A 25,388-nucleotide genomic window follows, 5' to 3' on the forward strand; every position below is an offset into this window, starting at 1 on the left:
CATGAGCCACTGTGCCTGGCCACTCTATTTTTTTTTTTTCTCTTGAGCTTGTGCAGTGTCAGGATGGGTTATGGAGGCCCAGGGTCTGAGTCAGAGGAGCTCATCTGCCTGTCCTTGGTCAGATCACCCTCATGCTGTGCAGAGTTTGGAGCAGCACATTTGGGTGGCATGGCCAAGCTCTAGGCGTTATCAGAATAAGGTCTCAGTTAAATCTTAGGGGCAATGGTCTACAGAGGCACGAATTTACATGTCGCTTCCCACATTTGGAGGTGGGAAGAGACACTCATGGGTGATGATTATCAAGACTTAAGTATAAAAGAAGAAGGAAATTGGTTATGTGCTGAAGGCTGGAGAAAGACCAAGGGACAGAAGTGAGGCAGTTTTCGGCTTAATTTCCTACAAATGAAATTTGTACCAACGAAGACCAGTGTGTTCACCAGAACACTTGGTGGCTGCAGCCTGCTTACTCAAACCCTAGTCTGACTCCCCTCTGGAGCTTGCTGGATTGTGAGGAAAGTGGTGTGTGTACAGACAGCCATTGGCCTGAATCCCATCTTTTCCACTGGAGAGCTTTTCACTTTTGCCTTAATGACAAGCAAATGGTTCCTTATGGGAATTTTGCCTAACTTTAGGGGTGAGCGCTCTAGAGGAGGGGGGAGGGTTAGAAGCTTCAATGCCTACCAGACCAAGCAAGTAACAAATATGTGGAGTGAGTGAGCCAGGTATAAAACAAAAAGGCTAGGATGAGACCTGTGGCAAACCAGAGAATAAATATCCCCTCTAAAGGCAGCGGCTGTCCCAGCTGAGCTGTCTTGCAGGAGCACTGTCTTAGCATAGCTAGGTCTTTAAGAGAAGCCAGAAATCTCGTGCGTGTGTGCGTGTGTGTGTGTGTGTGTGTGTGTGTGTGTTGACATTAAAATGTTGGCCAATCAGTATACATTTTCAAGTTATAATCTATTTTGCATAGAGAGATTATAGGGGAGATAGCCTATGGAATTCCTGAGAATCTGGCATGCACCCAGCTTCTGAGTACAAAACAAGGAGCAAGCTGATAGCAATGAGTTACAAAAGTCTGGAAAAGTCTTATCTATGACCTCAATTTTCTTTAATGGCTACAGCTGAGTGGGGATGGTCCCATCATCCTTGGGAGAGTGTACAATTTAGCTTCCCAGGACTATCAGAGAACTGAATGAGAATAAATCACATGACAGTTTGTGCCCTCGCCCCTCCCCCCATCCTAAAAAAGTTCTGTGACAATGTAAAATTGGTAAGCCTGCCTATTGCCCTTCTCTGCCTTTTTGCCCTTGTCCCTCACCAATTTTTCAGTGTGTGCCTCCAGTCTTCTGTCATGGCTGCCTGCTAACTGGGCCTCTTCTCTAAGTCTGTCTTCTTATGGATTGGGTAGACCAGTAGTTATTTTTTTTTTTTTTTTGAGACAGGGTCTCACTCTGTTGTCCAGACTGGAGTGAAGTGGTATGATTTTGGCTCACTGCCACCTCTGCCTCCCAGGCTCAAGCAGTCCTCTTGCCTCAGCCTCCTGAGTAGCTGGGACTATAGGCGCACACCACCATGCCCAGCTCATTTTTGTGTTATTGGTAGTGACAGGGTTTCACCATGTTGTCCAGGCTGGTCTCGAACTGCTGGGCTCAAGCAATCTGCCTGCCTTGGCCTCCCAAAGTGCTAGGATTACAGATATGAGCCACAGTGCCTGGCAGAACCAGCAGTTATTCTCAGCTGCACATTGGAGTCATTGGATATGGTAAGCAGAATAATGTTCTCCCAAAGATGTCCATGTCCTAATCCTTGCAACCTATGAATGTTATGTTACACTACACAACAAAGGGAAATTAATGTAGCAGATGGATTTGATGTTGCTAATGAGCTGTCTTTAAAATAGGGAGATTATTCTGAGTAATCAGATACAGACACTGGGTGGACTCCACGTAATCTCAAGGGTCTTAAAATGTGGAAGAGGCAGGCAGAAGACTCAGTGTCAAGAGTGAAGCAATGTGAGGAAGACTCACCAGTCATTGCTGGCTTTGAAGACCATAGGCCACTAGCTAAGGAACATGGGCAGCCTCTAGAAGCTGGAGAAGGTAAGAAAACTAGAGCTTCCCTAGAGCTTCCAGCAGGGAGTGCAACTCTACCAATACCTTCAATGTAGCTCAGTGAGACCCATTTTGGACTCCTGATACGGAACTATAAGATAAGAATTTGTGTTGTTTTAAGCCGCTAAATTTGTAGTAACTTTACAGCAGCCATAGAAATTGAATATATCTGGGAAGCTTTAAAAAAATGCCTAGGCCTGGCCCCACCCCCACAGACTCTGATTTAATTGGTCTGGGGTGCAGCCTGTGCATAAGAATTTTAAAAAAGCTTTCCAGGTGATGGATGCTGTTTTGCAGCCAAAATTGAGGACCCCTGGAGAAGAGGTTCTGTGGATGGATATGTCACAAGGTAAGGAGGAAGGAATTGCCAGCTAGTCTCATTAATGACTGCTGGCTTAGCTCTGAAATGCAAACATCAGCAGTCACTTGGTAATTGGAACATACTCCCCTCCGACCTTCACATTAGCCCACACCTTAGCTCTTTGCCCTTTGAGTGATGGCAGTAGTGTGAGGAGTCAGCTTGTTGCATTGGACGATTTCCTCCATGGGGCACAGCAGCCTCACTCCCTGCTATAATTGGGCCCTGAGTGTACCTCCTAAGGACTGCTTAATAAAGCTCAAAGTCTAGTAAACCATAAGTCATACAGTTTCCCTCTTGTGGCTTGTCTTGCCATTTGATTCCTGCAGATTTGTTAACAGCTAAATGGTCGATAATAAAAACCATTAAGTTGGATTTTTCTTTTTTATATACCCAACTGGCATTTTTTTGGAGAGGTTGTTCTGTGCCAGACACTGTGCTTGTGTTGATAAAAAGAGGAAAGATAGCTTCTGCTCACCAACTAGCTGGGGAGAACAAATTACACAGCACGTGGATGACTTCAGCAACCACCTGTGCATAAAGTGTAAGGGCAGCATACAAGATGGTCAGATGTTTGCTTAGAGTCTTCTTAGATCCTCTTGCTAGGCAGACAAAAAAATCCAGCCTCAATAAAAACTGCCCCCTTAAAGTGACTGAAGGCTGGACTCATGGTTTTGTTTTTCTAGCCCACGTCTCACTTGGTTCCTGTGCTTCCCACTAGATGGCACTAGAAATCACATTTAAGTGCTTGGGTGGCTGTAAAAAATTCTTGGGAACCTGGCACTTCCAGGGGCTCTTTCACCTGAGCCGTATTTCCTGTGTCTTTCTCTGGTCAATGAAGACAGACTTCTACTTTACTTGTTGTTCTCTTGCTTCACCTAGTACCCTATGCCCTCTGCTCTTCCACCATCACCTGTTTCCTGTCCATGCACATGGAGACAGCACCATTTTCTCCAGTGGTGGAAGCCTGTATAAGGCAGAGATCCTTTTACCCCTACATCCCTGATTTTAGAAGTAATGGCAGGAAATACAGCAATGGAATAATGCTAGTAAGACATGAAGCTCGTGGCACATAAGAAGAAAAAAATGTAACAACATGCATCTGGGCCTGAGCTGGTATGTCTTCAAGTTTTCTGCCAAGATGTAAGTCATTTTTATCATAGTAGTAAATTGGTAGATAAATGTTGGTAGAAGTAAAATTTGATTGAAATAATGGATTTTTTAATGCAAACCTGTCTGTAGTGGGTTGAATAGTGGCTCTAAAAAGAAATATCTAAGTCTTAAACTCCAGAACCTATGAATGTGAGCTTATTTGGAAAAAGGGCCTTTGCAGATGTAATTAAGAATCTCAAGCTGAGATTATATTGGATTGGAGTGGACCTTAAATCCAATGATAAGGACTTAGAATGGAAGGGGAAATGAGACAAGGGAGATGGGAGAAGGACATATGAAGACAGAGGCAGATTGGCGAGACATCCCCGCAAGCCAAAGAACAGCAAGGATTGCTAGCAGCTACCAGAAGCTAGGAAAGAGGCAAGGAATGATTCTCCCTCAGAGCCTCCAGAGGGACCCACCTCCTGACACTTTGCAGACTTCTGGCCTTTACAGTTGTGAGAGAATAAATGTCAGTTGTCTTAAGCCATCAAGTTTGTGGTAATTTGTTTCAGCAGCCTTGGGGAATGAATATATAGCCGAAAAGGGCTTTGTTTGTGCCACCCCACAGAACCAGAGAACCATTAATGCTAGTCTCATTAATGACTGCTGGCTTAGCTCTGAAATGCAAACATCAGCAGTCACTTGGTAATTGGAGTATATTCCCCTCCCACCTTCACACTAGCCCACACCTTAGCTCCTTGCCCTTTGAGTGGATGGCAGTAGTGTGAGGAGTTTGGCCTCCCAAAGTGCATGGGCTCTGGGCCACATGCTACCCCAGATGTGTTTAACCTTCACCAGACATTTTAAATAAAATCTATCGATTAGAAAATCGTTTTATACAAAATCTATAAAATTTCTGGATTCTTTTGAGAATTTAGAAGCTCCTGTGATGACAGGCCCATGTTCATACTTGGCTGGAACTGGCAAGCATCTTTGCCTTGTGGATGGGTGGTGTTTGCCACAGTCCCCACTGCTCTCATCTGTGTGTTTCCTGCATTTATGTTACATGCCTGGTCCTGCAGGCATTTGAGCTTGTAGCTCCTACATATTTAGCAGGACAGGTAGGCTGGGAGACACAGTCCCTTCTTTAGAACAAGGGGAAAGGAGTCCCTGGTTTTGTAGTCAGTAGTTCTGGGCGTTTTTTGTTATATAGCAGCACAGCTTAGAAGGTGGTTTCAAAATCCGGTTGCACAACAAAACCATCTGGGGTCCATTTCCTATATACTGATTCTGGACCATATCCCAGACCTACTATGTCAGAATCTTGGGTGTGTGTGTGTGTGGGGTGGGGTGGGGGAGTGATGGAGTAGGACAGAGGTAGAGCCAAGGAATCTGCATTTTTAAAACTCTCAAGCAATTCTGATAATAAACAGGCCTAGAAATAGCTGCCATAGGATATTATCTTTTAGCACTGAAAAGGGAGGCAGTTTGGGTTTTTCTTTCACTGGAGATCTTTGAGGCATGTTGTTTTAAAAAAAAGTCAAGATGGCAGAAGTGGAGCAGAAAAAGCAGCAAAGCAGAAGAAGCAGACCTTCTGCAAGTTCACCTCCTGTGGCGTGCACCCCGACCCACTGCTGGACTTGTCATGCGAGCAGCGAATGAAGCTGCACCGTGGCCTGTGGCAGAAGCAGCACTCGCTGCTGAAGCGCCTGCGCAAGGGCAAGAAGTGGGCACTGCCTATGCAGAAGCTGGAGGTGGTGAACGCGCACCTGCAGGATATGATCATCCTGCCCGAGATGGGAGACAAGACGGTGGGTAGCATGGTGGGCGTCTACAATGGCAAGGCCTTCAACCAAGTGGAGGGCAAGCCCGAGAGGATTGGCCATTACCTCGATCACCTACAAGCTCGTGAAGCACTGCCCGGCCAGGCATCAGAGCCACCCACTCTTCCTGCTTCACCACCCTCAAGGATTCTGCTCAGCCAGTAAAGGCACACACACTTCTTAAATAAATAAATAAATAACAAAATGTCTTTTCTCATGGAAATGTGAATGATTGCAATATTTTGTGGAGCTAAGGGTTTTAATTAGTCAGATTCGTTCTATTTATGAAACCAAGAAACTTGGTTTCTATCTACAAACCAAGAGTGGCAAACCAAGATTGGTTCTTTAATGAAGGCATAAAACAAACACCTAATCAATATAGTGATATCTTTTATTTATCTAGGCAAGATGGTACAATACTCTGCAGGGCCCCTTCAGCACATAAACAAGTCCTATAGCCCATCTTCTCTGTTTATTCTCATAAAAGCTGGAAATAGTTATTTCAGAGTTGTAGATTAAATCTCAGCTGAACCAGTACTATGCCTACAACATGGTACAGCACTCTGCAGGGCCCCTTTAGCATGTCAACAAATCCTATAGCCCACCTGGGTTCTGTTGAGATTTAATCTATAACTCTGAAAAAAGCTGGAAATAATGATTTCCAGCTTTTATTCTCAAAAATAAAGCTTGGATCTCTACCAGTCTTCTGAGGATGCTAATAGACTACCCAGGAAGGAAGAAGGAAATTGTGAGGGTATTTAAAGAAAGTTGTTAGGGGAAATGAAGTTGCTGTTATTTTGGTTAAGGAAGGTTACAATACATTTAATACTACAAAGCATTGCATACAGATTCAACTCATAAGGACTTTATTAAATGATTCTTTTATTCAATAAACATTTGTTGGAGTGCCTACTATGTATCAGGCACCTTTCTATCGCACTAGGAGTACTGTAATGAATAAAGTAATAAATGTCCTTGTTCATAAGCCTTATACTTAATGAAGAAAAATGAAAGGACAGCTTCATTAATGTGTGGCAGGTGCTTTTCGTACGAAGTATGACTGTTATGTAGACTATATTTATTAATTTTTAAGGCTCCTATATTAGCATGTCCTGCAGAGAAAGAAGGCTGAGCCCCCATTGAATGCTATTAATTTGCAGAAGCCTTTAGGTGCAATTTTCAAGTTAAATTTCAGGGGTACCGCTGACTGAATGTTTGCATACCTAGCGCTCTCCTTACCAGAAGAGCTATTTTCTCATGGCTACCACAGCATCTACTTCCCTATAGGAGAATAAATAAGCCCCAGGCCATTTGAAAAATGGACCACAGAAAAATTTCCTACAAAGGGCCCTCTGGATGGGCTAGGCCACTCAACCCATTTTCTAGTTATCACGTGGCAGATCTAGGACTTACCCCAACCCAAGGCTGGTGATGTGACTCTTAAACATTTTGCCTCTCCTGGAATAGCACAGTTATGGTAAGGAAGGCTGGCCAATGAGTTACAAGTATAGACTGGGTTGATTCCAGGTCATTCATTGATGAGAGGGCAGAGCCAGGACTAGCTACATGTCTCTAGGTTTCCAGTTCAGTGCTTGCCACTATGATAACCATCTTGTCTCTTTGAACGCAAAAGTTGAGAACCCTAGCAACATGAAGATGTTAAAATGTAATCTGTTTTGCTATCCAATCAAGATCGATGGACCGAGAATGGTTGTGATGTCCTAGCAGAGTGCTCAGTAGACCCAATAAGTGAAGTAGTTGTGGAAAGGCATTGGTGTGAAAGCTGTGGGTGTTATCAAGACCCAGAGCTGCAGTGGTCTAGCGCCTCAGCCAGAGCAGAGAATTTCCTTTATTGAGACTTAGCTGAGACCTGCACTACACGAAGACCTGGAGGTCACCATGCAGGCACACAGGCACAGGGATGGAAGCTTTCCTCTTTTCCTTCACTCGTTCTCCCTGATCCTTTGTTAAGCTCTAGCCACACACCAAACACTATGCTGGGGCAATGGGGGTACAAACATCAAGAATCTTGTGTTTTGATAAGCCATCAAATTGGATTATGTTGCCAAGGTGATGGCTCTGAGGAGTGAAGGTGGAGAGAAGCAAAGCTAGGCTGACCTCACTCACTTTGCCTGGCTCTTTGGGGGCGTTGCTGGTACAGAGAGCTGCCAGCCTTAGTAAAACCGAAAGCAAAGATGACCAAGCCGTTCAGCCTTTCAAAAATAGTTCCTACACTTTTCTGGTGAGAAAAAGAGTTCCTTAGTCAGGAATTATGATCCTATTAGTTCCTAGTTGTAAAGCATAGTTGTTAAAAGAAAGAGAACTAACATTTACTAAGGACTTACTATGTTAGAGGTACCATAGAAATATCAGGAAATTTTAAAAGCAGCTTTATTGAGGTGTGACTGACATATAACAAACTGCACATGTTTAAATCATACCACTTAATAAGTTTTCATATTTGTATATGCCCATGAAACCATCACCAGAATCCTGATAATGATTAGCCAGGTATGGTGGCACATACCTGTAGTCCCAGCTGCTTGGGAAGCTGAGGTGGGAGGATTGTTTGAGCCACTGGAGTTTAGGCTGCAGTGACCCAAGATGGTGCCACTGCACTCCAGCCTGGGTGACAGAGAGACTCTGCCTCTAAAATATATATATATATGATGAATATATATATGATATGTATATACATGCCCATCACTCCACAAAGTTACCTTATGCTCCTTGTAATTCCTTCATCCCACTTTTCCCACCCCAAGTCTTGTCCTTAGACAACCAGTGGTCGGCTTCCTGTCACTACAAATTTGTTTACATTTTCCAGAATTTTACATTAATGAAATCATATAGTATATACTCTTTTTTGCTTGACTACTTTCCCTCCCTCCCTCCCTTCCTTCCTTTCTTCCTTCCTTCCTCTTTCTCTTTTTCTTTCTTTCCTTTCTCCCCTTCCCTTCCCTTCCTTTCTTTCTCTTTCTTTCTCTCTCTCTTTCTTTCTTTCTTTATTTCTTTCTTTCTTTCAGGCAGAGATTGGTAGGTCTCTCTGGACTTTCAGCTGTGTCTTTACAACTCATGGAGTCTTCTAAGGCTGTATGTCAGTTTTCACTCTTTGGGCCATGACCTGGGAACTCTCTCAAGGCAGGAACTTGTCTCAATCATAGGGCTCATCTCACTTGTTTCCCTTCTCTCAGGGATTATTGTTTTTTATTGCCTGATGTCCAATGTCTTGAAAACCATTGTTTCAGGCTGGACGTGGTGGCTCACGCCTGTGATCCCAGCAATTTGGGAGGCTGAGGCAGGCAGATCACTTGAGATCAGGAGTTCGAGACCAGCCTGGCCAACATGGTGAAACACTGTCTCTACTAAAAATACAAAAATTAGCCAGATGTGGTGGCACTTGTCTGTAATCCCAGCTACTTGGGAGGCTGAGACAGAGAATCACTTGAACCTGGGAGGCAGAGGTTGCAGTGAGCAGTGATGGCACCACTGCACTCCAGCCTGGGCTACAGAATGAGACTCTGTCTCAGGAAAAAAAAAAAAAAAAAAAAAAAGAAACCATTGTTTCATGTATTTTGTCTTGTATCAACTGGGAAAGAAAATGTGGACTCTACTACTCCATCTTTCTTGTAGCAGAAATCACAGCATGTATTTTAATCCTATAGTAACCTCATTTTACAATAAGTATTTTTTATCACTATTTTTTACATGAGATACTATAGCTCAGACAGGTTTAGTTCTAAAGTAACTGAAGGTAAAAGCAGAGTTTAAATCAAGGCGTTTTTCTTTCTGAGGTCTGAGTTCTTTTCACTGTACTAGGTTCATGGGGTCATCTGAAAGGCACTCAGGCTGGGTTTTAGGCCAGTCTCTGACTTCAAAGATCTGTATGATCTTAGTTAAGTCATGTAAATTTTCTATGCCACAGAACCCAAGAGAACTTTGAGTTGCTCTGCCCCAGGGCTACTCTTTAGGCCATGGCTGTCTTTTCTTCCTCTTTTTACAGGCCCCATAATTTCAGCCTGGTTTCCCGTTCTCTTTCAGAAGATAACCCTATTCTATAAAGTTGTTCTCCTTTAAAACTTCTTTTTCCCCCAAGTGCTTAGTGCAGTGCCGGGCATGCAAAAAGGTTCTCAATAAGTGACAGGTGAACGAATAAATAAATGAGTGCATACATAATTGGCTATAGAGTAAGTCAGGTGCAGTCTCCTTCCTTGCCTTCTCCCAACGACCACAGAAGGAGTTCTCAGGCCTCTGCAATCCCTGCATGCCAGTGAAATCCCATTAGCATCAGTGGTCCGTTGTCTGGCCCCACTAGCTCAACCAGGATCTCTAGCTTTGTTGAGACTCCCTCCCCTATGCCCTAACAGTATTTCTGAGTTTATAAGAATTCACAAAGGAAGAACTACCAAGTACATTGAACTGTTGGGGGGAACAAGGCACTAATTATAGCTATGTGAATTGAAGGCAGTACTTTCTTTGTTCTTTTCCTCAAGTCAGAAACCTAAGTCTGAAATTCAGATTGTACTTGTTTTGGACTGTAAATGTTAGCAAGAAAGCCATGAAATTAATAAAAGGACACTTTTCTTTCTAAGACATTTCTGGCATAAATAGCTCCTGCTGACCAGGTGATGAGATGATTCAAAGCCTCTGTTTCTGGCATGCCCAGTCATTGCAAAGAAAGCTGAGCACATTCTTCCTAGGAGGTCCTTTGTAGCCCAGTGGGCTATGGAACAAAGGGGAGGGACCAGATTGAAAAGTTCTGTCCCAATCCCACACACGTGTCTGTATCTTACAAGCATGGTTGCATCTCCATCCGTTGCTTGATTCCACAAAATGGTAAGTCTTAGAGGCTGCCCTTTAGGAAATCCAGGACCCTTCGGAATTCAGTTCAGTTTACCCCCTATTTATGAAGCATTTGCCATGCACTCAGCTTGGTGCTCTTATAGAAGTGGTCTTTGGCTTCCTGTTGGGTGGAGGTCCCACTCCTTAACTCCTCAGTCTGAGGCCAGAACACTCAGAGCTAATACATGGGGGCCTAGAAGGGTCAGCTTTGGAGGGAGATTGATAACCCTGATAGCTTAAGAGCCCCTGTTAGTTTTAGAAGTGCCAAAAAGGTTATCTAGCCTGTCCAACTAACACCTACCTAGGTCTTGAAGATGCTATGGTGGTTATTTAATAGAATGTGATTAGGTAAATCCAGTGAAATGTATAAGTACTTTAATTTGTATTTTTATTTTATTAAAATTCACATGTAAAAGTGGGTGTTTAATGTTTTAGTTATATCTGTATGTTTATCATTTAATCGTTATTATAGTTATTTGAAAGAGATGCTAGCATTTTCTCCATTTACCTCAGATAAGGCAAGGGAAAGTCAAGGGAGGACTTACCAAATACACTAGAAATGAAAACTTAATTACAAATTTGGCCTGCTGATTCTAGTTCCAGTGCTCTTCTCACTATACCCCTTTCTCTCAATAGGCTCTTTATGGACCAATAACATTTGTTTTAGCTCTTGGATTTACCTGTCAGTAGTAAGCAACAAGGTAGCAGAAAAAGCACCAACTTTAGCATCAGATAAAGCTTACTTTGAATTCTGGATTTATCACTTAAAAGACTTGTGACTTTGGGCAAACTACTTAACCTCTCTGACCTTCAATTTCTTTACCTATTAAGTGAGGACTCCTGGGTTGTTGCTTTGGGGATTCTGAGTGATTATGAGTAAATGTGCCTGGTACACTAAATACACTGGGGGATCTATGAGTAGCCATAAGGTCCTCATTTCTTTCATGATGCATCCTCTCATTTTAGCTGAAGCTTTTCCTTCATAAAATCTCTTTATTATTTCAGACCTCATGAATCTACCTTTTCTCTGAACTACTTCAGCATCTATGGTCTCTTCTGTCCAATTTAAAGTTAATTATGTATTATTTTATATTCTTAGTCTCAGTCCCTGACTAGATTGGAAGCTTTTGGGGGGCCATTAGACAAGGTCTTAGATCACAATATATTCTATGGTGTTGAATACATTCTAGGTATACAATAAATATTTGATGGAGTGAGATGGCTTAGATTCTTTTGGAGGTAATTCTAGTGGTCATGGACATAGACAGCAGAAGCCAGGTTATTCCAGTGCCATTGGCTTGTACCAGCATGTCTAGCTCCTATCACAGAGAGAGTGAGAGGATGGAAGGCAGCCTTCCCTATGTCCCAGCACACCTGTATCTAGAATGACAGGAAATGTTGGTAATGTATCTCTTCCCCAGTTGCTCAACATATAGTGACTCATGTGCTAAGTCAAGGTGGCAGAGACCAAATCACGAATTTCAGAGCATCAGAAATGGAGTCTCAGATTCATTCTAACTCCCTTTGGGTCCTTGGGCGGGTGTTGTCAGCTCTCTGAATCTGTTTTCTCATCTTCAAAATGGGAATAATATTCCTTCACAATGCTATTGTAAAGTTAAAATGAGATGTATTAAGTGGGAGTGTTTAATAAATGATCGTGTATTGTAAAATGTTTTCAAAAATTATTTTTATTAAGAAAGATTTGGGGAGCCAGGAGTGGTGGTGCATGCCTATAGTCCCAGCTGTTTGAGCGGCTGAGGTGAGATGATCTCTTGAGCCCCGGAATATGAGGCTGTAGTGTGTGCCATGATCATGTCTGTGAATAGTTACTACCCTCCAGTCTGGGCAACAAAATGAGACCCCGTCTCTTAAAAAAAATAAGAAGAAGGATTGAAGGATTTAGGATTTATGTGCTTGTTACTACTATTTGAAAAAGGCAAAGAGTAAAGGGAAGGAAATGAAAAGAGAGCTAACTTGGGGGCATCCAAATTGTGCTGGTTTGTCATCAAGAAAGGTGGATGAGACTATTTCTGGGAAGGAAACCTGGGAATTACTAGCAAGTCTATGAGCCAGGTGCAAAGAAGGAGCCCAGTTAGAAAAAGGGTTTCCTTTTCCATAGGCCTATAGTACTGAGGGAGCTACATATGGCTTGGGCATGTGGGGTGAATTTTTTTTTTTTTTTGAGACAGGGTATTACTCTGTTATTCAGGCTGGAGTGCAGAGGTGTAATCACAGCTCAATGCAGGCTCAACCTTCTGGGCTAAAGGGATTCTCCCTCCTCAGCCTGCTGGATAGCTGGGACTACAGGCAGGCACCACCACGCCCAGCTAATTAAAGATTTTTTTGTTTGTTTTTTGTAAAGACAGGGTCTTGCTATGTTACTCAGGCTGGTCTCAAACTCCTGGCCTCAAGCGATTCTCCAGCCTTGTCTTCTCAAAGTGCTGGGATTACAGGCATGAGCCACTGCACCTGGCCTAGGAATTATCTTGAAGGTCAGGGCTAGGGAAAGAGCCTGCAAAAGGAGAAGAACCTGTGCCAAACTCATGGGCTAAGTAGAATGATGTTGACAATGATAGGCTGATACTTACCAAGCACTATATGTACCAGACATTGTGGTAAGTGTTTTACAGGCTGTATCTCATTTAATCTGCACAACAACATTTGAGGTGGTGATATTGCTATTCCTGCTTCACTGATGAGGAAACAGGAGCTTAGAGAAGTTAAGTCATCATAAGATCAGATCTTGTCCTGCCTAGCTGGAGATCTTAGCTTTCAATCACTTGAACCTTGTGAACTTACATCTCCACTTAGTTTGTCTCCTCCATTTACTTTGGAGTAAAAACTACTTATGCATATGAGCACACCAGAGGATGCAGTGATTGTGCTCTTGGAAGAGAAAGAGTGGGAAGGGCCGTAATCCCAGAGAGAAACTTGTTTGAAAACACACACACACACACACACACACACACACGTGCACATGCATGTGCATCATTTTCCTTGATTCCCTGTGTTGTAGTGGAAAATTTACCAAGCAGTGATGGAAACTCAGATTGGCAGAGACCAGGAAAAGAGTGGTGAATTTTGGTTTGGGGTCTTCCCTCCAGGAACCCCATTTCTTCTCAGTGGTGTGTGGGTCCAGATCACAAGCTGTTCTCTAAAGCACATTCACTTCTTCCTGATCAGAGCTTATTTCCAGAGCTCTGCAGGGCCTCTTATACATCCTGACCAGCTCCTGGGATGTGACCCTAATATATCACTCTTCATATTGCTTATTAACTGAACATGACAGTGCAGTTGAATGGAATGGGCCTGGGAGAAAAAAAAGAGGTGTTTTTTTTTTTTTAAGTGGTTAGAAGAATCATTTAATCTCAGTATAAAAAAAAGATTTCTCCATTTATTCCTTGAATCTTTTCTTGAGTCACCTCTTTATGACAACTGTACCGGGTACAGAGATGAATAAATAACAGCCCCCGGTCCTAAGACGCCAGTGTAAAAATGTAAATATGATACATTGTGATTTTTACTAGAATAGAAATTCCAACAATTAAAGCCTCTCACAAGTAGAAGAGATTTCAGAGTAAAGTTGTAAGCTTTCCCATCCTAGGAGTTTCGAGCAGATGCTGGATGATCTCTTGGTCATGATAGAGTATACTGGATCCTAGCATTAGATGGGGATATGGACTACATGACTTGAAAAGATTCTCTTCCTGGGATGCTTAGACTGTATTAGTTTCTGTAGTAGCTACAATGCAGTGGTAGTTTTGGGGTTAAGACAGAAGTAATGTGGCAGATATTCCTGGTTGCATCCACTAAATTCAATCTCTGCTTCTTAATTAGGAGAAATCCAATTTTGTCCCAACTATGCCCAGCTTAAAGTACACAGCTTGTACACAGCTTGTACACAGCTTGCGGCTATAGGTGGGTTTGTGGCACAATTCTGGCCAATGAGATTCAAGATCGAGTTACCAGGTGGGGCTCCTGGGAAAGCTTATTAAATGGGGCTGAGTAAGGGCCTTTTTAGCTTTTATCTTTTGTCTTTTGTCCTTTCTCCCATTTTTATTTTCTTGTAGGAATAGAGCTGTGATGCCTGGAGGTAGAAATATCTATTTTGTGATAAAAACTACTTACTAAAGATGGCAGGACAGAAAGAGAGAAAAAACCTGTGTACCTGGTGTCATTATAGAACCTCTTTACCAGCCTGGATTCCATACACGGGGACTTTTTGTTACAGAAAAAATAAACCACTATCTAGTTAAATCATTGTAACTGAATTTCTGTTCCCTTGCAGCTAAATACACTCTTAACTGACATATATACATAATATAGTGGAAAACATTAGAAACCTGGATTCAAATTCCTTTTTCATTATTTGTTATCTATGAGACATTAGGCAACCTACATGGATCTCACTGAATTTCAGTCTCCAAATATGTAATTGTTATTAATAATACCTATCTTGCAGGGTTACTAGGTGGATTACATGAGATAATCTGGAGTGAAATGGTCTAGCACAGTCCCTGGTACACAGAAGAACCTCAACAGATTAAAAAAACTGTGTAGTTGGACATGTCCCTAAATGAGGCCCTTGAGACCATTAAAATAGATGCTGATTTTATTGAGGGGCAGCCTTGCTCTTGGGATGCACATTGATACATACTTGGGATGATCTGTTGTTGGGTGGAAAGATAATATTAAAAATTCTATTTAGATTTATCTTCATTTTATCTTTTAAATATTTTAATTCTGAGGATGTTCTATGTATAGGTACAGAAACAGAGTATAATTTATGAATAAAAAATTAAATATATGGGATGTATAATAAAAAAAAGCTTTGGAGACCACTTTAAGCATTGTTTACATTATTATCACTTGGGTTGCTTGTTGGAAAAAAAAAACTTCCAGGCCCCCCTGAATCAGTGGCTCTATGATGGGACCTTGAAAACTTAAAAACCTGCTGAGATGATTCTTACGTTAACCCAAGTTTTAGAATCAATTATTAGAGGAATTTCTTTTTCTATTCCTAAGAGTCATGGTGCTAATTTTTATAGAATTATGAGCCCTTAATATTTAGATTCTTTCCTAGCTGCATGTAGTAGCATAACACTGATAAACTCATGATTAGTATTCAAGGTTATTAAGCCTGAACCTCAAATACATCTGATTGACTCTAGACCTGCCAAAAGTAAAATTAGAAAGTAGGTAAGATTTATCTTTTTGATCTTTGTTTCCTTGTTTCAGGGTCACCAGATCCTCCTCCTCCTGCAGGCTCACCATGGCTTCAAAAGAATTCAGTGTTCTGCAAGACTCTTCAGTCCTACTACTGCTCTCTATTGAGATTGGATCATGTGCCCATAATCCAAGAGATTTCCTTCAAATCTGTGTACCAGGTAAAACCACCCCTGTGGTAATAATGAACTACTGAGGGAGACAGTCTGGGTAATGAATGAAAAGAGCCTGGTTTGGGAATTATTCATATAACAAACACCTAAAAATACATACGGAAGCCTTTTTATGTGACAGGCACCATCTTAGGCACTGTGAATCTAAAATTAGAAGTGGCTGGTGCAGGCCAGGTGTGGCGGCTCACGCCTGTAATTCCAACATTTTGGGAGGCTGAGGTAGGAGGATTCCTTGAGGTCAGGAGTTTGAGACCTGCCTGGCCAACATGGTGAAACCCCATCTCTACTAAAAATACAAAAATTAGTAGTGGTGGTGTGCACCTGTAATCCTGGCTACTTGGGAGGCTGAGGCAGGAGAATCACTTGAACCTGAAAGGTGGAGGTTGCAGTGAGCTGAGATTGCGCCACTGCACTCCAGCCTGGGCGACAGAGTGGGACTCCATCTAAAAAAAAAAAAAAAAAAAGGGGCTGATGTAGTGGTGCAATGCAGTGATGCGGTGGTGTTTACAACCAATCGATCACAACCAGTAACAGATTTCTTTGTTCCTTTGTTCCTGCTCTGTTCCCACTGCTTCATTTGACTACACTAAAAATAAAATAAAATAAAATTAGAAGTAAATTACTGTTGTTCTTAGTTTGAAAGAATGTGAAGATTAATGTGGAGAAACACACAAAAACCATTCATGACCACAAAGTGACTGCTTTCATATCGGTATGAACAAAAACACAGGCAAAGACTGTGCCACTCTGCTTAGGGGAGACGTGGGTGGCTTCCAGAAAATATACTGCATGAGCTGAAGGATGGGGAGTTTGCCAAGGGTGAGAAGAGTGGTTTAGGCAGAGGACTTGGCTGGGCAAAGACCCAAAACAGAAGACATCTGGAGGATTCTAGAAACTTGAAGTGGTTTGGTTTTTCTGAAGCATTAGGTTTGTGGTGGGAATGTCAGGAAATGTGAGTAGGGCTCAACTATGCCATGCAAAGGAGTTAGGTTTCATACTCTTAGCAACTGGGAGCCTTGGAAGGATTTTGAGGCAGAGAGATACCATCAGATTTATGTGTTATAAAGATCACTCCAGCAGCAGAATGGAGGCTACATTGGAGGCAACATCAGTCTAGAGGAGAAAGACCAGTCAGAAATCTAGGTCTTGACCAGGTGAGAGACAATGATGGGGTGGAGAGGAGGGAATGGATTTGAAAGATAATAACAGGCTCAGATCAATAGGACTTGGTGATTGACCTCATGTGAGCTGAGAAGGACTCAGGTTTCTGGCTCTAGTGATTAGGTGAATGGTAGGGCCATTTCTCTGAAATAGGATTCTGGAGGAGGGGGCACCACCTCCCTCTGCTGACCCCAGTTCTGCCACTCACTAGCTGTCTGCACCTGACACGTTACTTGACGTTTCTAAGTCTCATTTCTCTTCATCTATAAAATGAAGTTGTGACCTTAGCTGTAATGGTATGTAGGGGGCACTCCATCCATGAAGACTACCAACAATAACAATCCAAGAAAATCATTATTTTGAACGTTAAAATATGTATTTTACTTTCTCCAAGTAATACAATGCTTTAGCGTAGTAAAAAACGCATATGCCTTCAGAAAGTCTTGAATTATGTACATATATATAGTCGTATTGACTTGTATTTGCATAAAGAAGCAGTGGAAAGACATACAAAGGACTATTTCATAATAGTTACTTAAGGGATGGGGACAGGTGCATGGGCTGGGGAGGATGGGGAGGACGAAGACAGGCACAGTAACAAGGTTTTTCAGTAGGTTCTCTTTCACATTGTTTTAATTTTTGAGCCATGGTTGTATCACCTATTTAAAAATATGAAAATAAGGTTGATGGGTGCAGCAAACCACCATGGCACATGTATACCTACTTATCAAACCTGCACGTTCAGCACAAGTATCCCAGAACTTAAAGTAAAATTATTAAATAAATAAAATAAAACATATAAAAATTAAAACATAAAATTTGGGGTGACTTTAATGGTGTGAATTTCAGGCAAGTGTTCAATGGTTCTCACCAAAAGGCCTGGGGTTCTTTTACCCCCATTGTTTTTTGCTTAACCCGTGTACTTTCCGGAGTTTTCTTCCCAACTTTTTCTCTTGGCTAACTCCCACTTCACCTCAGGTCTTGGCTCAAATATCACTTTCTTCCCGTATCCTCACTTTCTCTGCTATCCTGTGTGCTTTAGATTCTCCTCTCCTGTTTTCTCACGGGGTGTTATGAGAACTGCTGCTGTGATTTTTCTCACATTGGGCTGTAATTATTGATTAACTTGTCCTTCTACCCATTTGACTATGAACGCTTTGCCTCTATTCATAGCTTATAATAAATGTTCAAGAAATTTTTATTGAATGAATCCTGCCATGTAGGTGTAGGGACCTTATACCATGGAATTCTGGAGACAGCTTCGATTTCAAGCATTTGTTCCTTTGTTTCCTTAAGCACTAATCAGGCCAATGTACTGATTCTTCCTTTTCTCCCTACTCCCTTCCCTTCCCCTCCCCTCCTCCCTCCCTCCTTCCCTCCTTCCCTTCTTTTTTTTCTTTCTTTTTCCTTTCTTCCTTTTTCTAAAATACACATAAATGTGCTCATCTATTCTGGTCTTAATTGTAGTTGCTGAGTAAGAAGTAGAAATCTTTCAGCTCTGATGTTGACACAAACAAAGGCAAAAAATTATTTTTATATAATCCCAGGGCTGAAGGGAAACCAGGGGACTTAAAAGAAATTTAGAAGCTGTGTCTCTTCTATACGTAGACTGTGAGCTCTTTCAAAGCAGAGATGGCATCTTTTCCACCTTTGTGCCTCTGGTATATTGCACATGGCCTGTTACCTAGTATGTGCTCAATAAATGAGTGCTAAACTTAATTACAAAAATTAACATGGCATATTTTGCCTTCTCTTGAGAATTTTTGTCTGAAGTTGAAGAACTCTGTATTTTGAAAATTAAATCTATACAGAAGTAGGAAAATGGTAAAAATTATGGAATCGAGGGATAGATAGACCTGGATTCAAATTCATATTCTTTTTTCATCATTAACTGTAACTGCATGGCCATAGCTAAACCACTTAACTCATCTGAGCCTGTCCTCATTTGTAAAACACACACACACACACACACACACACACACACAGTCTCCCATGGTTATTAAAATAATTAAATGGGATAACCTAAGTAAAGGCCTTAGTACATGCTGAACACTTGGTACTTGCTTATTGTTATTTCATTGAACATGTTATGCTCAACAAGTTATCTAGCTAATATATGCAAAGTTTTGCAAGGCCAGGCCAAAGGCACAGGTCTTAAAATTATAAAAGCTGAAGGAGTTGCAACCAAGAAAGGAAATAATTAGGGAAGAGAGACTGGATCAGAAGCCAGGCAGCTAAGGGTACTGGCTTTTCAAATTGTGTTCTTTTGTTAAGACTAAAATTGGAAGACAGGAGAAGCAGGGCTTTTGGAATTGTGGATACCAAGCACCACTAAATGATTAAAGCAAAGTGCAGTGCTGGCTGGTGGCCGTGTGCTTGTTATCTTGGAAGTGCAACCCTTGTGTCCTGTATCTGATTCATTTTCAACAATTTTTTTTTTTTTTTTGTGGGTGGGGAAGAAAGAGGAGGGATGACAGAGAAAGGTTGGAAGATACACAGGAGAGATATTTGAGGGGAGGAGCAAATAGACTAATATTCTCAGTGCTTTTTAACTCATTGATTGCCAGGAGCCTGGGTGAGGCAAAGCATTGGTTTATTCAGCTTTTATTCAGCTCAGTGCCCTGTTGACAACACAATGTGTCTGAGTCACAGGGGGTCAAGTGACTGTAGCTTCTCTGATGAGTCACTGTCTTGTTTCCACTAATGTCTCCGTGGCTGGGGCCAATTTGTTTACTGAGAGAAAGCTACAGCTGTCTGCAGGTACAGACATTTGTACTCCAGAACTTACCAGCAGAGCCAAGCAGTGTGGATGTGAGGAGCTTTTGCACTCCTGGAAGGTCCTCACGGGTAACAGGCAGTGGGAGCTGCTTGATGTGATATGATGATGCTCTTTCCTTTGATTTGGTATCAAGAGAAGCAACTGTTTAGAATTAGAGCTCAGAGGATTGAGCAAGAGTTAGAAGGTGGGAACAGGACTAACATATATCACCCAGGAACCCAGTAAGACATATGGCATATTCACAGTAGGCAATTGAAGGGTGCTGGGTAGAGAGACTATTCACAAGGGTGTGAGCAGGGTTCAGGGAAACCAGCAAGGGATGGTGCAGGGTCTCAGAGAAAGCAAGTGTGGGGAGCCATTACTTGGCTGAAGAAGCATGAGTGGGGAGAGTGGCTATTGGAGCACGGGGGAGTAGAAGTTGGAGAAAGTCACCTGAGAGGAGCAGTGGCCATCATCTTAAGGCCACAGTCAACTTACAGTGAACCAACAGGGATGGAGTCAGGGTTATACATACCCACTTCACTCTCCTCCCACTCTCCCATTGGAGACCCTTATATTGGCCACATCTTACTGAAAGCCAGAGAGAAGGGAGTTGTTGACGTTGGCCACGCAGGCCAGCTCCTGAGGAAGAGAGCAGGGTGGAGAAGCTGGAGAGTGGCTCTGGGGGGATGCAGAAAATATCTAGCACAAGTCACTAGCTAGACAAGCCAGTTACCTCATGTGGGTCTCAGTTTTAATCATCGGTGAAATGGGAAAATCACTCTACCTTTTTGGCAGTGTTGTGAGAGTGGAGTTAGATAAAAGGATTTGAAAGGCCCTGAAGCGCTCTGCAAATGTTGAGTAAGAAGTTGCTCTATAGCTGCTACTTTTCACAGAGAAGGGAAATACTATGTTACTCAAGTAAATTCCTTCCCTCCTGGTTAGTTCACCACCCCTTCTTGAGATCTTACTTTCATGTAGCGCATACTGGATGCCAGGAGTGAGCATGGGGAACAAAGATGGGTGGGCTATAAAAAAATGTGATGACAGTTATAAGACATAGCCAATGCTCCGTCAATAGCCTATAATATAGTTACAAAGAAAGATATAAATAGGTGTGTAGTGTGTGTGTGTGTGTGTGTGTGTGTGTATGTGTGTATGTATTCCTATATCAATGTATGAAATGCATGGAAAGATATGAAGGTAATTATCTATCTGTGTAATCATCCATTCATCCATCCATCCATCTACACAAAGTAATGCAACCACATATGCAAAATGGAACAATACATATATAAATAATTAGAACTGGATAGGAACAATAAAAAAAGGGTGTTCAGAAGAATAGAGTTTTGCATTGGAAATTAGGTCTTGAAGTGCCAACCTACTGACCTGTTGGGGATGTTATTGTCCATCCAGGTTTAGAAGTAGACTTTTAAAGAAAGAGAGTAAAGTATTTAAATTTTTTGAGTTTATGTATTTGTTTATTATTCTTTTTATCTCCAATGCTTGGCACAGTATTCTAAAGGCCCTCAAGAAGTGTTTATTAAATGAATCAGTTAACAAAAAAGGTATTTATGCTACTTTATTAAATGAGAGAAGAAAATACATATAATAACAACGCCTGCCTATAGCGTGGTCTCTATGAGAATTCTTCCAGTGCTGTTTGAAATACTGTACCACTGAGGCCAAAGAGGACACAGTGACTGAGCTTAGCATATGCTTTAGGTAAGTGATTTGTGTAAGATTAATGTGTGCATAGATGCAATCTCAAAATTTCAAGACAGAAAATGACTGCTTTTTGGAAGATGTTTATTAAGAGCCTATGGCATGCCAGACATGCATGTCCTACCCATGCTTCTGGAGCTCAGTAGAAAGAGAAGTTGAGTGAGGGTGGTGATAGTTTCCTCATATGGTTGTCAGGTTATTGTAAAGCTTAAAAATAGTGTTCCTTTTCTGCCATGGGCTTGAAAACAAACAAACAAACAAAAACAAAACAAAACAAAAATAGTGTTTAGCACTCAAATACCTTTGCATAAGTATTAATAGTCTAGGATTCAGGGTGTGGTAATGAAAGGGAAAGTTAAAGTAACACCATCTAAACGTTTCTAGGCAAATGTAAGTGGAAATGATACTGGTGTGGGACTATTCAGAATCACTGCTGTGGATGCAGAAAGCACTGGCTCTGAGCCCATGGGGCACAGCCCAGAGAACAGAGCTCTGCAGCGAGGCCAATGCTTCTTGGTCTTTGGATAAGTTGATAACTCTTAGGAGCTCTTGGGATTGTCTGAAGGCTGTGGGGGGAAAAGCACAGCCTGCACCTACTATTAGCTCCCTGCAGAAGAAAGAAGAGAACATGGCCCATTCAAAGTCATGTTTTTTTCCAGCTCTGCTCTCTTCCCTAGTCTCCAGGCTGCAGGCATGCAAGGCTGAAATCAGGCTTCCAATGACCAAAGAAAAACTGTGCCACATCCCAACCTTAAAACAAGGCTGTCAAGCCCTGATCAAGGGCTGTGGATGATACAGGGTTTATATGTATAGATGGGCCCTCTCTGTTGATTGTTTAAATTCAGGTAACATTCACATAACACAGAATCATTTAAAAGTATACAATTCGGTGGCATTTAGTAAATTCACTGAGTTGTGCAACCATCATCACTATCTAGCTCCAAGACATATTATTTTCGTCACCCCAAAAGGAAATGCAATATACATTAAGTAGTTGCTTCCCATTCTCCTCCCAATCCAATTTCTGGTAACCACCAATCTGATTTGTCTCTAGGGATTTATCTATTCTGGATGTTTCATATAAATTGAATAATACAAAATATGATCTTTTGTGTCTGTCTTTTTTCACCTAGCATAATGTTTCCAAGGTTCATCCATGTTGTAACATGTTGGTGCTTCATCCGACACATTTTTTGGCTGAATAATATTCCACTGTGTGGATGTACCACATTTTGTTTATCTTTTATCAGTTGATGGAAATTTGGGTTATTTCTACCTTATGGCTATTGTGAATAGTGCTGCTACAAATATTTGTGTACAAGATTTTTTTAAATACCTGTTTTCAATTACTTTGGGTATATACCTACAAGTGGAATTGCTAGGTCACATAATAATTCTAGTTTAACTTATTGAGGAGCCACCAACTGTTTTCCACAGTAACAGCACCATTTTACATTCCCACTAGCAATGTGTGATGGTCCTAATTTCTCCACATCTTTGCCAACATTTATTTCCCATTTAAAAAATTTTAGTTATCCTAGTGCATATGAAGTAGTTTCTCATTGTGATTTTGACTTGCTTTTCCTGGTGACTAATGATGTTGAACATCTTTTCATTCCCTGTTGCATTTTAACTCAACCAAACTATTTTAAATATGTATCTTTTTTTCTCTTGAGTAGATCTGTAGCAGGATTTAGATGGCATATTCTCACATGTATATTTTATTCAGCTCTCTTTGAGTCACATGGAGCAGGCTACCATTTGCAAATAGAGCCTAACAAACATTCCTAGGTGATGGTGTGGATATGGAAACAGATGAAGGACTTTCTCAGAGGCAATATTTATTAAAACTGTGCTATTAATGGAACATTTTTTTTTGCATTGAAGTTTTATTTTAAAATATGCCCTAGAAAGACAAATGGATCAAATAGCAAACCCTCACTTGGTGGGCTTGAGCATTTCTTAAAGTGGAGCAACCAAAACCCATGGAAACTCTGAGTAATCTCTGATTTTTGGCAAGACTTCCAACTTGTATTTAATGTTAAGATATCCCTCTATGCTTCACTTTTCATCAGTTCACATGTAGAGGATGATGAGCTCTTGCAAAGTCTTGTGGGAGACCCACAGATAAACTTAATTATAGTGAGGTGTTGAGGATCTTTTCATGTGAGCCATCGATTTCAACATCTCTGGCTTGGACTGGATTTCTCCTTCACTTGGCCATCATCTCTTTCTGATGCACATTTCTTGAGGCAAATGGACAAGGTAATGTGTGTCCCATGTGAGCAGGAGAAAATTGAACATCCCAAGAATAGTCTCACATCACAGTTAGGTTTTTTATCTGCAAAAATAGATTTATACTAAAACAGAGAAACGTGGAAAATGATATGAAAATAGAAACCATACTGTGTGCTACCTTTCTTAATAAGTAGGCTAACTCTCTAGAATTGTTAAGTTTAGATGAGTTCAGAAACTATATAATTTAGCACCCATCTTCTCAACTGACCTGGCATTGGCCCAGGTATTGGAGTGATGTCTGCAATCAGGCTCTTCTTGGTAGTAATTTATTTTTCCTACTACTAGTAGTCAACCTCCCTTCCCTAATACTTAAAATTTCTTCTAATAATTAAAAACATTCTAAGATGTTTTAAATTGAGAGCTGAGACTAAATCTTTAGGAAATTAAAAAATTTCAGTGTCACTCTGAAGAATAATACTTCTCTCACCCTGCCAATCATACTCAGCTTTTCCTGAGCTGATCACCTAGTTAGTAGGGTCCTACCTGGGGTCCGTTTGTAGGCTTGGTGGCACATACCTGAATAAAAATTGTCAGAGTAACTGTTTTTCCTGGAGGTAAACTTATGTTAAAATGACTACTTGGTAGTGGGAGAAAACAGCTAAGAAGGGTTGATGATCTCCAGACGGAAGGTCATGAGAAGGTTCCTAAAATATGTTGTCTCCTTTCCACCATCTCCTGTTAGCAACATATAAGGTCAAACATTTTTTGCCACAGAAATAAATGAGGCCAATAGATAGTCATTGGATAAATCTACTTTAGAAGTTTTAGATTTTTTTTTTTTACAGATGAGTTATAAGGTCTTTCCAAATGTGGCCATTATCTTTAGCAGTACTAGAGATGTCTTTATTTCCTTTTCTTTGTAGTTTCTTACCTCTGTGTTTTCGTAAGTGAAAACTTCTGTGAGTTCGTAAGTGCCATCTGTAATCACACTGATTTTGAGTTGTTAGAAACTGGTCTTGTGCATTCTGAGATAGATGCCATCAAAGGGCCAGGAAATATTAAGAATATATAGTGGGATCTCATTACTACATTCTTATTTGGATATTATCTGTTTGACCGAAATGTTCTTTTTTTTTTTCCTTGTAGAATAGCCAGATAAATACAAGGTATTTTGTTTTATTTTGTATATTCCCTAAATCTGGCAACACTACCTCCTGAGCACTTAGCTAAACTATACTTCCCAGTGGATGTGGCCATGTGACTGAGTTCTACCAGTGAAATTTTTGTAGATGTGATGGGCCACTTCTAAGACTGGCCCACAAAAACCTCCCATGTGTGCTCCTGCATGTTCTTTCCAATTGTGTTTGGTTAGGATGGAGAAAACTTCTAGGGTGACTTTGGAAGCTACATGTTGAAGAAAACAGAGGTTCTATTAGACTTGACTGCATGGAGGTAGACCTCCTCACCCTGTCCACGTTGCCTGTACTGTTACGCGAGCAAAAGATAATTTTTTTATTGTTGTTGGGCTCTTGTACATTTTGGGATCTATTACACTTGTTGCATAAATGGCCTACTTAACCAATAAAGATATGCAGTTGGTTAAGCCATTTTGTTGGTAAGTAAATTACTAGATTAGGAGAAAACTTAACATGGAACAGCTAACTTGATAATATGGGAATTATCCATAATTTCCAAAAGCAATGCTACAAAATTGTCTCACTAGGCTTCTATTGTGTAATAGATGACTCTGAAACTTATTGTTTTCTGAGGATTCCAAAAGGAGAGAGGTAGGGAGGGGAGAAAGGGTTGAAAATCTACTTATTGGGCACTATGTCAGCTACTTGGGCTATGGGATCATTAGAAGACCAAACCACAGCG

The 25,388-nt window shown here is 41.2% G+C and overlaps 1 pseudogene, besides 2 other annotated features; it reads left to right on the forward strand.

Moving 5' to 3' along the window:
• Positions 3,563–15,560, forward strand: RPS15P3 (ribosomal protein S15 pseudogene 3; annotated as a pseudogene).
• Positions 18,612–19,598: an enhancer, noted in NCBI's record as "NANOG-H3K27ac hESC enhancer chr1:171786162-171787148 (GRCh37/hg19 assembly coordinates)". NCBI's record gives its function as "activates a minimal SCP1, AML or CMV promoter by ChIP-STARR-seq in naive H9 embryonic stem cells {active_cell/tissue: H9 hESC(naive)}" and the evidence as "EXISTENCE:reporter gene assay evidence [ECO:0000049][PMID:30033119]".
• Positions 19,599–20,584: an enhancer, noted in NCBI's record as "NANOG-H3K27ac hESC enhancer chr1:171787149-171788134 (GRCh37/hg19 assembly coordinates)". NCBI's record gives its function as "activates a minimal SCP1, AML or CMV promoter by ChIP-STARR-seq in primed H9 embryonic stem cells {active_cell/tissue: H9 hESC(primed)}" and the evidence as "EXISTENCE:reporter gene assay evidence [ECO:0000049][PMID:30033119]".

The sequence above is a fragment of the Homo sapiens genome, chromosome 1 (assembly GCF_000001405.40).
Source record: "Homo sapiens chromosome 1, GRCh38.p14 Primary Assembly".
NCBI lineage: Eukaryota > Metazoa > Chordata > Mammalia > Primates > Hominidae > Homo > Homo sapiens.